At 36.5% G+C, this 19,468-nt stretch overlaps 1 annotated feature.

The window, feature by feature from the left end:
* Window positions 18,388–19,245: an enhancer, noted in NCBI's record as "OCT4-NANOG hESC enhancer chr5:97767900-97768757 (GRCh37/hg19 assembly coordinates)". NCBI's record gives its function as "activates a minimal SCP1, AML or CMV promoter by ChIP-STARR-seq in naive and primed H9 embryonic stem cells {active_cell/tissue: H9 hESC(naive and primed)}" and the evidence as "EXISTENCE:reporter gene assay evidence [ECO:0000049][PMID:30033119]".

A 19,468-nucleotide genomic window follows, 5' to 3' on the forward strand; every position in this document is an offset into this window, starting at 1 on the left:
ATTCACTGTGATAACTCTTACTTCACAGGTCAAAGACTCAGATGGATGTTATCCAACTGCCAAGAATATCATTTCCTATTATACACTCAAAGACCAGGGAAATAATAATTAGGTGCTTCTACCCAGGAACCCAATAGCTTAACTTTTAGCCAGGACTCCATTTATTACTTAGCCCTTGTACTCCCTACTCTCTCAGGGAACAATAATGAGCTTTGAGTCCCGTAGTATGAATATCAACTTGGATTCTCTGTAAAATCATTCTAAAAATGTCTAGGCGTGACCCTTTCTCCAGTGCGAAAGCACTCAAGTGATCATGGGCTCTTTTGAGGTTGAACTGGGAGTCATTGCAGTACATACTGGCAGCTCTTTCCTCTAGAAAATCTGGCTACTTCTTCTGTCAGTAGTTGCTGTATTTGAAAATTAGCTCAGATCTGGAAACTGAGCAAGGAATTATGATTGCTCATTGAAGTGACTCCCTGCAGCCTCCTGCTCTTCCATTCTTACCATGTTCTGGTTCTAGATATTAAGCAACACCCTTGTTGGCTGCCCATCTATTTTTCCTCTGTAGCCATCCTCTATTAACTAGCTCCCTGAATCTTGACTGCCCCTCTGAACTTTCGGATTGTTATAGTTATTGTAACCTCCTGGTTTCTGATTTTAAATGGTACCCCCTGGTGTTTATTATTTTGGTGCCTCATCATCCACATGGTTATTAAAGAGCCCAGGTCTGTGGGCCCCTCACCTGCTATCAGCCCTAACCTAAAGAGAAGATACACTCCTGAATTTCTCAGTGATGCTAAAGACCCTCTCACCAGAACATTCCTCATGGCCTTAGTGATAGAAGATAATCATCTGGTGGGCCTTCTGGCCTTGCACAATATATCCATTCCAGTATGTCCGCATGCCTGAAACATTTTATTCTATTTCTACAACATAGCAAGGAAATTAACGAATTTCTACTTTACTCAGCATGGCCCTTTGATTTTCCATACATTGAGTGGCCACCTCAGCAGTAAGTTTTCCTCATTCCCTTCAGTCCTTGCAAGGTACTAAATCACATCTCCTGAGAAAGTACCACCAAGTAAATGAATTTTCAAATATCCTGCCTTATATTCTTCTCCCCTTGATCAAAAAAACCTCTAATCTAATCTAAAATTATCTTTGACCATGCAGAGAGGAAAGGCCATGTGAGGACACAGCAAAAAAGTGGTTGATCATCTGCAGGCCAAGAAGAGAGCTCTCATCAGACAACAATTCCACTGGCACCCTGATCTTGAACTTCCAGTCATTAGAATTTGAGAAAAAAATTTCTGTTGTTTAAGTCATGCAGCCTGTGGCATTCTATTATGACAGACTTGGTTGACTAATACATGACTCCAGGCTGGTCTTTCTACAGATGAGGAGGGGATTTTTATAAGCTACCAAAGTATTTAACTGTTAATCACCCTCAGTGTCAATACAAGTAGTAGTAACTAGGCAACTCCACAGTCCTTAAAAAGGAGTTGTTCTCCACATATCTCATAAATGCCTGAAACATTGCACCAGCAAAATCATTTCTCTATACCAGGACATTTTCCCAGGGCCCTTCAGGAATTAGGCCATTATTTTGGGATGGGGATTATCCATGCTGCACTTTCCCCTTAAAACAAGCTCATCTTTGTTAGTCAGGTAGAGAGTGACTCATTCTCAAAACTCATCTTATTTTCTAAATAAATCAATCCTAGCTCCATTTCTGTCAGTTCAGGTCCTCCAGTAAGGAAAAATCAAAATACAATTAGACAGTCAAGAGATTTATTGCGGTGGCTCTGTGAAAGATAAAAGTGGGAGTAAGAGTGACAAGAAGAGCCTTTAAACCACCCTATAGGTCTGACACTTGTGAAAGAAGAGAGGGAAGAAAAAATGAGTTAGAAGCAATCTCTGAAAACTGCAGTTCCAAGAACATCTTGGCCAGGCCAGGTCAATGGTGGACTTTAAGAACCAGTTGCTCTTGGAGAAATCTCACTTTGAGCATTAATGGTCTGGTTCTTGCATTCCCACTAAGCTCAATCATTGACTTACATCAGCTTGAGGTATTGACTCAAATGTGTAACAGCTGGGGCTATAAATCAACTATGGTCCCCTCAGCAGGTCCACTTGACAGAGATTTGAATGGCCTACTTCCACGGCCAACATAGTGTGAGCATTAATACTCTGACTTAATTAAAGAGTGAAACTCAAATGCTGCTATTTTCTTACTAAACCCATTTCTTTTTCTGCCTCTCCTGAGCACTATATTCCCCCCCCCGCCCCATCCTTAAAGGTGGTGGGGCCATATGACTCCACTTTGGTTGATGGAATAGGTGCCATTTCAATCCCTAGTCCCTTAAATCTCCCACAAGCTATCCTCCACTCTCTTTCCACTTCTGAGGCAAGCATGCAGGTCATGTGTTGAACAGGCACCAAAAGATGAAGGGAGAGGATGAGCTTCCGCATCACTATTTTGAAGAGATATGCCAGACTGCCATGGACTATGTGATGTGAGCAAGCAACAAATCTTCACTGAAATAAGATCGATATTTAAGAGCTGTTTATTTCAATAATTAGCCGGCTTTTTTTTAATGTTCTAGGAGATAGCCTACTATTTTGATAGAAACATTGCTAAATAGGCAATTTTTTAAATTGTCTTTTGATTACTTAGCTAGAGCCATCATGTTCAATGTGTGTTGAGAGGCTTGAATGAAAAGAAGATGGAACATAGAAACTAACAGTTATTTATTCTTATCATTATTATCTGTCCTATCTTTTAGAGTGATATTCTGTAAAACACAGCCAACTCTACTAAATAATCAAGTTCTTAATAACCAATGTAATATATACTTTTTAATCTCTTAGACAAATTCTTTGAGATCAACTTGCAAAAATATGACTCACTGGTATTCTTTAAAAATGAGAATGACCACAATGTCTAACATCTAAGTCATTCTTGTTCAGATCATGCCTGAACAAAATTAGCATTTTAAAGCACTTTTCATGTTTTCTCCAAATGATGTATTAATGAAATAAGCCTTTACCTTGTATTTCCACAATAACTTGTGAAAATTGTGTGTAATGTTGCAGGACTGTGTGAACAGTTATAGAAAATCTTTTTAAACTCAGTGAAATAGATACAATCAACTTTATCTCCAAGCTTTTAATATGCAATGGTTGAATCATTTTTACATGATTTGTTAATCTGAGAAGTAAGTGCCAAATCACAAGTGAAGTGATTTGTAATCATCTAAAATCTATTATACTTCACCTACCCAAGAAACTAGAATCTTAATACTTCGCAAGTTGCCAGGATGGCCTGTGTTCAACATATCATAAAAGTACAAAAGTTATTATTTCATTTCATGTTTTAAAAATCCATGGTCTGCCTCGCCTATCACCTTAAAGGCACAAATGTCTGCTAATTGTAGTAATTTTTCAGTGCTTCTACTTTTAGCAATTTCCTCTAATAATTACACCTAGATTGACTAACCAATTACTTTGCTTTATGATTTCTTCATTTTGTCCTGGAACTAATCCCCCATAGATACTGAGGAGCTACTCTACACAAATCTTCACTGCTGCTTTATTTGTAATAATACCAAACTGGAAATAAATACACTTCAATGGGTGAATGGATAGATAAACAAATTGTGGTACATTCATATAATAGAATACTACTCAGCAATAAAAGGAGCAAAGTTTTGATAGATACAATAACTTGGATTGATCTTAATGAGATTATGCTGAGTAAAAAAAAAGCCTATCCCAAATGATTACATACTTTATGATTCTATTTATATAGCTCTCTTGATATGACAAAACTATGGAAGTAGACAAGAGATTAGTGGCCACCAAGGATTAGTGGCCACCAAGGAGAATAGAGTGTAAGTATAAAAGCTAACACAAGGGAGTTTTTGAGGTTGATGAAACCATTCTGTGTCTTGATTGTGGTGGTAGTTACACAAATCTACAAATGTGATAAAATTTTATAATATGCCAAAAATAGCTCCAGTAAAAACTCCTGAAATCCAAATTAAGGTATGTAGTTAATAGTATTAAACCATTGTCAATTTTCTGTATTAGATTATTCTTTTAAAGTTATTAAGACGTTATCATTGGGTAAAGCTGGAAGACTAGAATGAAGGAACTCTCTATATCATTTTTGAAACTTCCATGTGAGTCTAAATTATTTCAAGATAAAAAGTTTAAGAAAAAAATACTAATCTCCAGGACTACTCCCAGAGATTCTAATTCAGCAGGTCTAAAGTGGAGCACGGAGATCTCCCCAAGTGGTTCTCATGAGCAGTCATATTTGAAATCCCCCCATATAATGTACAATGTCCTTAAGAGCATCACTTGGCAGTGAAGATGACAGCAGGTTCTACACAACAATTTTCTACAATGCCTCTTATTGCAAGCTGAAGGAATCATGAAAAAGCACAAGATAACAAATCTATGAGGGCCCAAAACAGCATCCAAGGGGGTTCTGGAACTAATACCCCACAGATACTGTACACAGATGTTCACTGCTGCTTTATCTGTAATAACCCCAAATTGGAAATAACACTGCATCCCAGTATCATGGCTTGATTCCCAGTTAGCTTCTAAACTAAGACTAGATGACTTCAAATATTTCAAGCAGCACTCCATAAGCATCAGTTCTTACCCCTAAATGTTTCACATTGCCAATTAGGGGCAGATGAATACAATCTGATATTATGCCAAGTTGGAAGTAATGGTGACATCCTTTTAAGAATATTACAGAAGATTTCTATTTGAAGAGTAGACCTCCCACCTTCAAATGGAGGTAGGCTAAAGGAAAACCTGAGAAAAGGGTCAAGATTTTACTAGAAAAGCTGCATAGAATTTAAAAAGTAATTGAGCCCTAAGGCATTATCTTTTAATTAAAGTCCAAAATGTGATTTATCTTAATGAATATCACTTGCATTCAGTGAATAAGGTCTACAATGTGGTAAGGAGCTCAACACTTCTGTATTGCTTGCATAACATCAACTTCTATCATATGATAATTCTATTATCATGAAGAAAATGACTATGTCAAAATATTATCTCTCAATTGTTTTAAGTATTACCATTAATATAAAAATTAGATGGGTAATATTGGTAATAAACACTTGAAACTTTATGTAAGCATATACATTATAAGAAGGAAATTATTCATTTAATAGATACATGTTTTAATATCTCTACTATATGGAAGTTATTATACTAGATACTGACATTGAAACATATAATATATTGTTTCTTTCCTCAAGAAGCCAGTGTCTATTGGAGTAAATAACTCAACAATTACTATATAGTCCATTGATTATAGTATGGGTGTCTCTTAATCTGAACTCTTGAAAGCTGAGTAGAATGTAGCTAGATGAAGAAAAGGTACATGTGCATTGCAGGGAGAGGAAACAGTTTGAATGCATGGAAGAATACAATTCAATGACGTATTCAAGTAGCAGTGACTATATCCGAAATCAATAAACAATGAGGCATTTGAGTATAGGTTTGTGGGTGGCAGAATAACTACCTGAAAGCAGGTCACGGTGGGTGTGTGGGTGTCTCCAGCACAACACTGGCATGCAAGGCCATCCTGAAAGTATTCAAGCATTTTGGAAACAGCACTCATACAGTAGTGTTGACAATGGACTGGAATATGATTAAACTGAAGGCAAAGAGAAAAATAAAATTATTGAACCAATAAAATGGGGTGCAGAATTATTCCATATGATGATTTTCATTATCATTATAACTTATACTGGTCTTTGCACATTGGAAAGCCACTTCTTTGTTAAAGCAGTGAAATTAATTAGCAAAAATCCCAAAAGTCAGTTGGGTCACACCTGTAGTCAAACCATCTGTATACAATAATTTTAAGGAAATTTTAAAAAAATACATGTGTAGTGAAGTCTCTGTTAAAAGAAAAACAAGTGTCCTTTGGGTTGAAAATACCATCTGGATCATTTCAAACTTACCAGGTACAAAACATAGCACTGAGAAGCCTGAGGTCTGAAATATATAAACAAAAAAATCTTAAAAGAGATCTTAAATCTTTAAAACATTCCCTCCAGAAAGCAGGTTGGCATTTTTCACACTGCACCTGGATTTTCTTACATTAAAATGTCATGTTACTTCCTAGAAGGGATATTGTGAAGATTAACACAATCACGTTTTAAAGCTCTTTGAGTTTGTCAGAGTGAAGTTCTGTAAGTACAAGGTACAACATTCACTGTTCACTGCACAGTTATTTGAATCCTAGTTATGTGGGATATCAGAGTGAAGCAGATAAACTTCCTTTTACCCACATGAAGTAGAAAAATGAAATTCAGTAGAGAATTAGAATTGGTAATGTTTGAATTACTATGCAAAATTGAGGCATTCTTGTTACTTCCAGGTGTCTTAACAGACCCTTCGTAATATGGAAAAAGATTTATACCCAAGTCAAGTAATAAAGGAATTTACTCATTGATTTTTAAGGTTGGGGGAGTGAAAGAACTTTCTTGCAAGTTAAAAAAAAAGTGTAGATTAAAATTTTTTTTTAAATATTGGAAAATCAAATTTACTTATTTTAATCAATTTTAGTCAGTCAACAATACACATTCAATAGTCCTTGATGCTAGGCATTCCAAAAACTTATAAAAAGCAGTAAACTCAACAAAAAAAAATCTGAGTCTTTTTTTATCTTTTAAAATACTTAATTTTATAGAGATAAATAGCTACATACACAAACAATGGAAATATTATCTGGCATTTACTAATAATATAGTCCATGAGATCAGTGCCAAACACTGTTAAAGGTGAAGATCTGCTTTTTTTCCCCTTCCATTCACTCACTTAAACAACTTTTATTGATTACCTCATGCAAATGAAAATAGGGTCATATGGCTTGCGTTGTAATTCATTTGTTCATTCAAACATTTATTGAGACCCAGACACTAGGGCAAATATGAAATATAGTAAGCTCAATTTTATGTCTTAAGATTATTTTCCTATAGTGGTGGAATCAGATATGTAAATATATCATAAGGTCATATTTTAAGGTGGAATAGTAACTACAATGTATAAATAATACAATGAAGCTTAAGTACTTAGGAGTTCTCAAGCCTAGCTGCATTTTAAGATCACCAAAAGCATTTTCCTTTAAATAAAATGCAAAGGCCTCATCCATCCCGCCTCAATTCTGATTTAATTGGACTACAATGGAAAACTAGGATGTTGTGTTTTTGTTTTTGTTTTTTTCTCAAAACTTTCATTGAGTGTAATATGTGCCCAGGGTTGAAGCTTCCCCACTTCCACGCTAAATGGTTTGCTTAAAAAACTAATGAAGAGAGAGTTTAAAAGTTGTGTTGAAATTGAGGACACTGTTGAGAAAATCTGTAGGTGAAAAGTGAGATCACTTAAGACACCTATCACTAAAATTGAATACAATATGGTACATGTATTCTAACAATTCAGAAAAATATAGCAGAGCTGTAAATAAAATCCACTAAACCCAGGAACCCAAACCTAGGACTAAGTATACTATGCAAATATTTATCCTTGGGCCCTCAATCTCCAAATTCTTCCAATTACCCAATTAAATTCAAACTAGTCAAAACCTCTAAGGCAGGTCGTGCCATGTTTTATATTTGGAATAAATGAGTGATGATGTAAAGATGTTACATTCAAGCCTGCATTTCAAAACAAAACTGAAATTCCAGGCATCAACAAGAACAGTGAAGAATCTCATAGGATGATCAGATCTTCCTAGCTACTGAAATGTCAGAAGGCAGTAGTCTACACTGGCAGGGTATTCCATCAGGAATTACAGTTCCGGAATTTGGGGTTCTTGCTCAGTTTTCCTTGGTAATAAACAAAAAATAAATGAAATTTAAAAACCCAAGAGTGTCTTCATTTAAGAGTTTTCCAAGAAGTTCAACTTCCAGGTGTTTCTGAGCACAAGATTTACCATGTCACACAACTACGATGAGAGTACAAATCAGACAAAAGGTGATCCTTTATTGAGCGAGGCAAAGGGAGGCTTAATAGAAATAAAAACTAAGGACCAAAAAGCAGTATATTGAAATTTTCAACCATAAAGTATCCAAAAAAGTACAAAGTTTATAGTCTTTTAAAAATATTTTTCCTGTAACATCACACCTCCATGTAATGTTTTAAAGCATGCCTAGCAAGTTGGATTCAACACAATTAGAGAAAAAGAACCATATAAATGAGTAGGTAAGTTTGTGCATAAGGGGATTTAGAACATAGCCACACATTCTCTCCACTTCACCACTCTTCTGGGGGCTTAATGTCTTACACTTAAAAACAGGGTTCTGTTTTTGTTTCTCTGATTGATATATGTAAATACACCTTTGAAATATATCAATAAGTTATAGACCTAGAATTGTTATCAAATACTCATAATAGAATTTTTCAAATCTAAATCGTCTATGTACCTATAGGCTATTGACATGGTGTTTTCTTGATGTTTGAATTGTTAGAAGACAACACAGAATTATATAAACATGTATAGATAAAACTTATGGTGACTTTTCTATAGCTAACAGAAATGAGTGGTCAAAAGCAACCTTTTAACTATTAGCATTATTCACAGAGGAAATAAAGACACTTTTTTATTTCTTTGGGTTTTCTAAAATAGCAAGCTGGATGACTGAATAAGTAAGCTTCTTGTTGAGTATTGGTTCCCATGAGGTATTTGCTTTTTATTACTGATCTATTCCTATAAATCTTTCTCCGTTTTTTTTTCCATCACTCATACAACCCATACTTACTACTGAGACAAGATCACTACCAAAAGAGATATTGGGAGGCTGGGAGTCCATTTCCCAAGCAGTTATGATCACAGAAATCTCCACGTTAACTCACAGCCCCTGCATAAGGAATTCTACTAGATTAGTAGTCCCCACCCTTTTTAGCACCAGGGACTGGTCTTGTGGAAGACAATTTTTCCATGGTTTGGGGGGAGTGCAGAGGGATGGTTTCGGGATGGATTCAAGCACATTACATTTATTGTGCACTTTATTTCTACTATTATTACATTGTAATATATAATTAAATAATTATGCAAATAATGTAGAATCAATGGGAGCCCTGAGCTTGTTTTTCTGCAACTAGACAGTTCCTTCTGGGGGTGATGGAAGACAGTGACAGATCATCAGGCATTAGATTCTCATAAGGAGTGTGCAACCTAGATGCTGCACATGTACATTTCACAACAGGATTCATGCTACTATGAAAGTCTAATGCTGCCACTGATCTGACAGGAGGCCGAGCTCAGGCACTAATGCGAGTGATGGGAAGCCGCTTTAAATACAGATGAAGCTTTGCTTGCTCACCTGACCCTCCCCCCCATGCTGTGCAGCCCAGTTCCTAACAGGCCACGGACTGATACTGGTCCATGGCCTGGGGGTTGAGACCCCTGTACTAGATGAACTGAGACATTGTTTATCATTTTTAGCAAAAGTGTTAATTCCTTGAAATACTCAGAATAATAGTAATGAGTAAGACACAGAGCAATCGGAAATGCAGAGGCTCTTTTTTGTTAGGCTACATGTAAGCTATAGACAACATCTGACTGCTGAAAAAAAAAAAGACAATCTTTTCCCCGGATATGGCAAGGACACTCAGCCTCACTTTAGTCTTTTTAAAGTTCACCCTATACAAAGACAGAGATTACCATCAGTGGTGGTGTCTTCTGAAACAAAGGGCAGAAATTGATATTTCTCTTAGTGGGAGGTAATGTCAATATAGTAACCCAACCCCTTCTGAAGATGGCAAAAATGTTTTTTCAAGCTGCTACTAAAATCTATTTTGCCTAATTTTCACAAATAAAGAACATGACGGTTTTGTTTCCCTGACAATACTCTTGAATGTAACTGGCCTTCATGCTTTGTCCTCTGGTCTGTGTCCAAGCAACAGTCCAACACCTTAAATTAATCTTTGCATCCAATGAGAAGTTCCAAAGAAGCCCAGACAGATGTTCCTGTGATTATCACTGTCATATATTCTATTAAAGATTATACAGATAAGAAAAGCTATGACTTCTTAGAAGTTTTGGGTTTTCTGTGGCTTTAGTAATAGAAAATGTCTAATTCTTTACGAAATAACAGATACAAGATATTTTATATATACAGGGTTTTTTAAAGATTTTTTTTAATATTGGTCAAGAATATTGCCTTGGATAAATACATAGAATATGTATGTAGAAGTATGAGAAATGGACTAGAAACCAAGCGCATTAACCTCATGATAGATGTTGTCTCTGGGAAGTGAGTATAAATAATAGAATGATGAAACGTGGTTATGGAGACTTTGGCTAAATCTGTAATGTTTGTCTCTTTAAAAAACGATAAGGCAAATATGACTAAGTGGTAAGTTTTAAATATTATGCATTATTATGGGTGTCTTTATGTTGTTATTTAACGTTTTCTGCATTTGAAGATCTCCAAAATTTAAGAAAACAAGACTATTAGCTAATCACATGCCCATTGTGCTTTCTCTTCTGAAGAAAATGATTGCAATTAGAACACCCTTCCTTGTTGTCCAATTAGTAGCTTGCATCGAAGAAATCTTCATTGGGCATTAATCAATTCAAAATCGTGATTTTAATGGTACTAGTCACCCTGCTTTTAAAAACACATTAATATTCAAATTCATGTGTAAGTGCCCCATATAGCTGATTAACTGGAAGTAAGAAAAGCCTTAATATATGCAGAACACCATTCACGTGCTCTAAAAGGCAAATGAAGGCGCTCGGATATATTATGAGTTGTAAGTGTCTGTCTTTTATGAAAATGAAGAAAAATTCCCTCAAGAAGAACCCAGATATTTGGCCGTTTTGACATTTTACAAGGTATAGAGCAAAGCACTCAACCAGGCAAGCATCGGTAAGAAATAAAAATGAGTGCATTCACTTACAATAATAAATTCAAAATAACACTTAAATTATGTACATGCATCACATATAGCAACTGTGTAAGTATGTAGTTCTTTGAGTACTGTTTATAAGAACTTTCAAAAAAAGATCCCAAAATTATTGATGACTGTTTACTTTTGGCCCATGAATCATTTCCTGAATATATTTTACAATTGTGATTCAGCTCAGTTTTTAATTAATTTAATTTTTTGTTTCTTTTTTAACAAAATCACTGTTTCTCTTTTCAGATTATCCACAGGTTTGGCCTATCTCCTGAGGTAACACCAGGCACATCTGTTGATCTCCTCAAACACCAAGACAGCAACAATAATGGACTTACAAAATAAAAGCTAGAGAGAGAGTCTTTTCAAAACACAACGGGAAAAGTAACTCAAAATGAGATAACCAGCAGATGCTCCAGAATATGGAAGTCATCTGTAAGCGTTTAGTGGAATGGAGAATGCTGAAACAGTTCTCCATTTGCCAGATGCCTGAAATAGAGACAGATGAGCTATTCCTCTGAACTTCAACAACAGCGCCAGCTGAAAAAGCAGACCCTTTCTGCCAAGGGTCACTTGTTGGAGCTGTTGACTGTAAATCAGAGTTCTCCTTTTGGACTTATGGTACCCAGAAAATGCAACCAAAATGTTCATATGTGCACCTTACCTTGGGCACAAAGACCATCATCCTTAGTTGCTGAAGGTCTGTGGGGGTGGGCACAAATTGTTTAGATGTTTTGAACAAAGGTACCTTTTTATAAAAACCGCATGTTGTACACAGCATTTCTTACCTTTCCCATGAACAACAAAGGCTCCCAAATAAAATAACCCACATTTCAACTTCATTGGTAAATAGTGGTAAGATATTTAGGTCTGAAAATCTTTATGAAAAGGCCCTTTATGTCTTTTTTTCCTTGCTAAAATAATTGCTGCTATATTACAGTGTCTTCTAACCTGCATTAGTGGGAAAAAAATGCCTTTGTGTGAAATGAACTATCTGGAATCCTTTTTCTCATATTGTTTAGATCAGGAGTCTGTTTTTTTGCACTCTCTCCCAGGGTGTCTGAAACATTTAAAAATAACAGTGGGTAGTCAGAACTGCTCATGCTGGCAGTGGGTGCCTTATGGTTTGCCATCACATAAATGTCAACTTTGCTTTCTTTTATAGAGCTAAGCAGAGATAAATCTCAGTAGCAAAGAAAGAAGTCTTTAGATTTTGTAGTTTCCTTCATTTCTATGTGTGGCCTACCAATCAGCCCAGAGCATCTCTGCACCTCTTCATCCTGTTTAACTCTAGCACCCATTTGTTTCAACTTTTCCAAATCTGCCAGGAGGCTGAGAGGAATCTTTAGTGGGGTTAGAATATAGTGGGGTATACTGGGATATAGACCAATGGGTCTCACAGTGCAGTCCAAGACCAGCAGCAGCAGCAGCATCGCCTGGGAACTTGTTAGAAACACAGATTCTTTAGACCTCGCCTTCCGAATCAGATACTATGAGATTGAGATTTATTAATCTGGTTTGATAAGCTTTTCAGACCATTCAGACCCACACTAAAGTTTGGGAAACTCTGGTCTTGACCACAATGCCAAAATTTCCCGTAGGAACTCCATAAATTTCACTCTTAGATTTCTGCACCTGGTGTTTCCCAATTGTGAAAGCCCAAATATTTTAGATGCCCATTTAGTATCTATACTACAGTGACCCCAAGATACAAAAAGGACACCATCTAAATTAAACGTGGTGTCAGCTTTTGGAATGTGTAGTGGTGAATTAATTTGCATTAAGAATTTGTCTTGGATCAGCAAAACAGTTTGGCTAAGCCATAGCCCCAGTGCCTTCTAAAAATCACACTCCTTTGATTTCCTACCAACAAAAGAGAGATTTAAGAGCCTTACAGAAAACAACACTGCCACCTGTGCATAAGACAAGCACTTGGGTTGGTTGATGAATGGATTACACCTATCAGTGCAGGTGTCCTTATTCGTGGATGAAAACAACTGATTCATTCTCTCTCTTAATTAGCTTTGAATGCACTACTGCACTGTACTCACTGAGTGAGGCTCTGCTGAACATTTTAGGTTACATTCCAAAAGTAGGAACTGTGGAAATATGAAATTGAGGAACTACAAAGTGTTTTATGACATTTAATGTAAAAGCTGATGACATTAAAAACATAAAGAAAATATCAGCCAGGTGCAGGGCATGTGCCTGTAATCTCAACACTTTGAGAGGCCAAGGCAGGGGGATAGCTTGGGCCCAGGAGTTTGAGACCAGCCTAGGCAACAAAGGGAGACCCTGTCTCTACAAAACATTAAAAAAAGCTAGCCGAGCGTGGTGGTGTACATATGCTGTCCCAGCTTCTTGGGAGGCTGAGGCAGGAGGATCACTTGACCCCAGGAGCTTGAGTGAGCCTTGATTGAGCCACTGCATGTCAGTCTGGGTGACAGAGGAAGACCCTGTCTCTGATAAGAAAGGAAGAAAGGAAGGAAGGAAGGAAGAAGAGACAGAGAGAGAGAGGAAGGAAGGAAGGAAGGAAGGAGGGAAGGAAGGAGAGAGAAATATCAACAGACATTTTTTAAATTGATGAAGTTGTTTATGAATCACCTGTGAAAAAAATATCTTGAACTTACGTGAAGAAAATAGATGACTCTATCTACTTTTTAATTGTACTTTCCAAAGGTATTCTTGTGAAGAGCCTTTGAGAAAATTTCCTCAATATCACTTACATGTAATCTTCATCAGGACCTCTCCACACCCCCCATTAGAAATTGCATGCTTTTCTCTCTTCCACCACCTAGCTTGAAGTCCAAGAAAGGGCCTTCCCTCTCCTCATTTGTTAAGTCTGTTAACCCAGGTCAGAGAAAGCTTGCTTTACAGGGGAGAGGCCAGAGGACATGCCTGGAGCTAAGAAGTGCTCAATTGTCAAATAAACCAGGAGTTTGTTTGCTTTTAAAATGGGAACAAGATAATCCTTTCTTCAAGACTTCACCCATGAAGTATTGTGGGAAATGCATTTTAAAATCAAAATGTCATTTTTCTACCATTTTTGGTTTTTTTTTTAAGGGTTAAGAAGACCAAATTCATTGGTTTTGACTGGGTTGCTGAATTCTGGGGTTGGCAGTCCAAAAATGAGTTCAGCTAGTCTCACGGCTAAGTGCCACAGGATAGAGCTGTCTCCTCCAGGACCTAGTGGAACGTGAGGTCCCCAAGCACCCAGAAGCTTTTTTAGCAGGAGCCAGCCAAGCAAACAAAAGAATTTCCAGCCTTCCACAACGATTGGATTATAATATTTACTGTACCAACACTGAAAATATGTTCTTAATTATTAAGCATATACTTTAATGCCTACTGTGTGCAGATATCCTGAGTGCTATGAAAAAGTATGGAAGAGATAAAAAACAAAAGACAAAAAAACAAGCTCATCCCAGGAATAATCTGCAACTTAGCTGAGAAGAGCAAACCTATAGTAATGAAATGGCACAAGGGTGCTACGAAGGAGTCCCACCTTAAATCAGGGTGTTAAGCTCCATTACTTTGCACTGAAGCTCCTCTCTCCAAACTCAATGCTCTGAAAGTGCAAAAAAGGCAATCATGTTAAGTATGCTGCTGAGAATCTGCTATCTGTAGGTCTGGGAGACATTAATAAAACATGGACAAATGTATCAGGCATTAAAAAACTAGAGACTACGACATTTAAATTATTTTTGACAAAATATTCATGTTATACTCTCAGCTCAGAAATGCAGGCTTTGTTGCAAACATAGGGGCATCTCATCCAGTGATTTATCTCAATAGTTATAGCAGGAGGAAGAATTCACCAAGAGCAATCCATACTCTTCTCTCCTACTCTAGAGGTAAATCAGGTATTCAAAGAAATTCTGCCTCTAAATAAAAAGTGAAGGAATTTAGCTTTCTAGTTCTGTGGCTGTTTAAGATGCTATCTTTTCATGTCTTTAAATAAAAAATTTAGAGTATTTTCATGTACATGTAATGTAAACACATGCATGCACACACACACATACCCACATACAGTATTTGGTTGCATTTTAGCAACTAACATTCCTTTTGCGAAATAAATGGTCCTCAGTGTGACATTACATCCTCTAACAATACACTATGGCATTTCTAGAGCATAACATTATGTTCTGAACTTAGAGCTATGTGAACAAATTCACACCCAAAGCAAACCCAGCAAAGTGCCTGGCTTGCTTCCAGTTTCACTTTCCATGTTGTTTTGCAGAAATGAAGAGCAATTTTGTGGTTGAAAATGAAAATGTCTTTTCCCAACTGTGATCGACCCTTTGACCTGGCAGAAAATGGCTTGAAGCCCATGCCTTTCCGGCCCTGGAGGCTTCTACCGTAAAACAATTTCTGCTCAAGAAGACAGTTTCTGGAAGTTTTAAAGCATCTCAAGTGCTGGTCTACACTTACCTACCTGCTTGGTCTTGCCCTACTTTCCTGTATATGTAACTCTTGCTAGAGTACAGTAAGTTCTCTTTTTTCCCAAAGTCTCCCAAAAGGGAAATGTATTATTAGAAGATGAGATGTAGGAGCATATTTAAGAGTTAAGCTAAATCGGATCTTTAAGTTAAAGTGCCTACAGGGCCAAATACAGTACAAAGTGTGCCCCATACAGTATGAAATGAAGGGAGTCAAACTTAAGAGCAGGAGTTCTGATTGGTGTCAAACTTGTTCATTTGGTCCTATTACATATTTTTTTGACACAAAATAGAGTGTTCTGTAGGAAAAAGCTATTCTTGGATTGAAGTAAAATTATTCAGTTTTACAAATTATACACTTTGACAAATTTTTTATGAGGGATTTATGGAGCAAAATGGTGGTGATGTAAAACAATGGAACTAAACTTTGAAGAATTGTGTACCCAACAGTTTTAGGTTGGTATCATATAAGCAACCACATACAGAGAAAAATAAACAATAGGTAAAATTTACTAGATGATTTTTTTTTCTTTTAACTTGTGGAAATGGAGAAACAAATGGATTAAGAGTTCTATGAAAAGTGTTTAAATTAGTAAGTGAAAATTATTTAATCTCAGGTGTTATGAAAAAAACAACATCATTTCAGTTTTAGCACTTATATATGGAATTAAATATATATTTTAAATTGAATTCTGTTTGACAGAATTGAAATTTGAAATCTTCTAAAAACTTTAAAATTTAAAATTACTCAAAATGAGATGCTATATTTTAAAGACTCAATAAAATCACCTACTTTGCAAAACAAAAGTTCAATGTACTTATTTTCCAAAATTTTAAGAGAACAATACTAACCAATGTCTCTCTCACCTTCTCCCTTTTTTTAAATTTCTCTCTCCACTTGTTCACCCCCTCTTAGTGCTTAAATGTTTTTCTATAAGCAGAAGAGAGTGAGTTTTCATTTCTATTTTCATATCCCTCTTTGGTATCCTCAATTATCTTAAGGAATCTCTTAAAAATTTCAGAGCAAAGACATTTTATACTATCTCCCCACTTTCTAACATACATTATTATCATTCAGTGCCATTAGAAATGAAGAGATAAATGGCGGTATTAGAAACCCAAACAAATTATACATTCTTTATGTGCTCCTCCTTTGAAAAAAAAAAGTGTAACTCAATGAAACAAATTAAGGAATTAAGTATAAGCTATTTCAAAATGTGCTGAAAATTACAATTGAGTCTATTGTCTTTTTGAGAGAAGAAAGAACTCACCTGGACCTTTTGACTCTCACTTTTATTACCATATGCACCATTTCTGGGTAATACATGCAATGTACAGAACTTGGAAAACCCTTACCCTGTAGAACAAAGCAAATGCTTAAAGGGAAATAATGACTATGAATTTTCTTCCTTTTCATATTATGGAAAGCCCAGCCATAATAGGTCCCATTGCAGTAAGACTAACCACAAGCATAATATGGAAAGAAAATTTACGTCAATCATCTTTATCCTTGTTTTTCCTAAAATATCAGAAAAACCTAGAAATCTGAAGCTGGAAGGGATCCTAAAGATCATCTAATTGAAATGCTTTCTTTAAAAAATTATGGGAATAAGGTCTGTACGAATTACCTGACATTGAAGATCACACAGCTAAGCTATGAGAAATAGAAATCTCCTAGCTTCCTAACTGTTTGATGTTGCAGGGGCAGTATAGGATTCTTGCCAGCATATAGCTAAAGGCACAGTCTAGTTGCACCATGTCAATGGGAAGCTGGTGCTTTCAGATATTGCAAGTATCCTTCATGACTATCCCAACTTTCTCCAGCTGAAGAAATTGCAAAGAAGAAGGAACAAAAATCTATTTCTGTGGTTAACATTTTTACTTTCTAATTCAAACACGGTTTTTTCCTCTAGCTTAAAAATCATATGTAAATTTTTTTTTACCTATTTGTTGTTGATTTTTAAATAATGGTAGATACCACTTTGCTTCTCACAGTATTGAAACTTCATACACAAGCCTTCAAGCAAGCCCAGTGCTAAATTACCAATGGCTAGATATGTTGGTCCATAAAGCCAAACAGCTGCAGAGACGGATATTTGGTGGACTAAACCTAAAGAAGGGAGCATTCTTCATTTCTTTCAGCTATGCAACACTAATGAGAATGTTCACCCTAAAATTAAAGAGTAATATAATAACAATGTGTACCTACAATGTGGTCAATTTCTATGTTGAGCAGAAGATGCAGAGATGAGTAAGAGACAGACTCTCAACTCAGAGTTTACAGTTGAGCAGGTAAGATACAGTAGTATGCACACAACTGATTACAATTCAAAATAACTCAGTTCCATAAAAGTTGTACAAAACTCTAAAGGTACTCAAAGAATATAGCTTTCCAGAAAACATGAAAAACATCCTGTAATAAGTGAATTTGAGGTGAAACTTGTAGACTTCCATAGGCCTGGGATAGCAGGAAAAACAAAAATTGTTTAGGGCTGAGGTGGCTTGGAAGCCACCTCAGACCTCTCACCTGTTCTTTCTCATTTCCCTACCGCTGTGTCTGTGTATGAGTTTATTCTTCTGAAATACCTACCCCCATCTCTTTGCCCCCACATCCCCTTCATTGCTTGTTTGTGGAACAGATAAATATGAGCTGGACAGCTCCAGACATGCAAATAACTACTTGCAAAAAATTGAACACATGTTTCTGCTTTTAGTGGACTTCACCAATGGAGCCTGACAAAGTGCCACACACATAATAGTTGATCAATATTCATTCATTCAATAAATACTTATTGAGCACTTACTAAACATGAGGCACTGTGTTAGCAGGTTGAGGATATAAATAAGCTTAATGTAATCTTTACTTCTATGGAGTTTACAGAAATTTAAATAAGCAGTTGCAGCAATGTGATGAGCCTTATGATGGTAGAAGCACAAGATGCTGTGGTAGTGCAAGGCAAAGACACCTGCCCAGGTCAGGAGGGTCAAGGAAGCATCTCAAGAAAAACAAGTTAATTCTTCAACAACGGTTATAAGTTAGCAGGTGCCATTGTACAATGGAAACATGAAACTGCTGCCACACTGGGAAGCCTGTGGCCTTATAGGAAGGCACGTCTGAAGGCAGCAATAACTGGGAGCAGCCAGCAAAATGACTGTTGCCAAACATTTCCAAGTGAAAAGCTAACCATTTCAGGCAAATTATGAGGCCACTGACCAAAGGTCAAAAGAAGGGGAAAGGGAGCTGAGGCTTTCCTAGAGTCAGTGAAAGGTAGGACTGCCATTGAGGTTAACAGCAAGGAATGTATCAGATAAAGGGAATGGAGCCTAAGATAAAGGATGGGGTATTGCAGCCTTTTGAAGCTTCCGCATCAATAATTACGACTGGAGGTCAATCCGTCAGAAGTTCAAACAGCTAAAGCTTCAAATGAAGAGGATTTGTTCTCATGCAAATGTCTCTTAAAATGCAAACTAAGGAAAAAAAAGGTAAGAGAATGTGGCATGAAAGACAGGAGAGTGTCTTATTCAACAGCAATTTCTTTAAATTAAAAAAACAACTTGCAAATGGATGGGAAAAACATCTCTTTACAACAGCAAGTGGCTAAGTATGTTCCATGTAGATGGCATTCTGCTACAACTCTCTAAATTCCACCTTTCGAAACATTACTCTAAATTCTTTCTTTTAAAACACTGATTTGCCAAATAGAATAAGGCTTAAGAACATTTCACTCTATAATTTCAATAGAGCAGGCATTTGGGGTCCACCAATGCAAAAGAAATATTCTTTAAGTAACAGATTGACTGTGCTGTGACCACACTGGATGAGGTCTCCTGCTTAAGGGTTTTGACAAAAAAGAGTAGATTTAAAGATAGTGTACTTGCCTCCAAAAACGGTGCTGCAAGACTGAATATTACTTCATTGTGGGCTGTAGGAAATGTGTTTTGCCTGCTCTGTTTAATTCTGGGGTTAAAAGCAGTAGTCAAATCATGACAGCAAGGAGCTTTCTGCTCTATTACAGCTCACTTATTTCCCTCCAAATATTAAACAATGCCAAAAAAACTTTAAGTTATTTGGGATAGGATCCATTTTC

Source organism: Homo sapiens, chromosome 5 (assembly GCF_000001405.40).
Source record: "Homo sapiens chromosome 5, GRCh38.p14 Primary Assembly".
In the NCBI taxonomy this organism is placed as follows: Eukaryota; Metazoa; Chordata; class Mammalia; order Primates; family Hominidae; genus Homo; species Homo sapiens.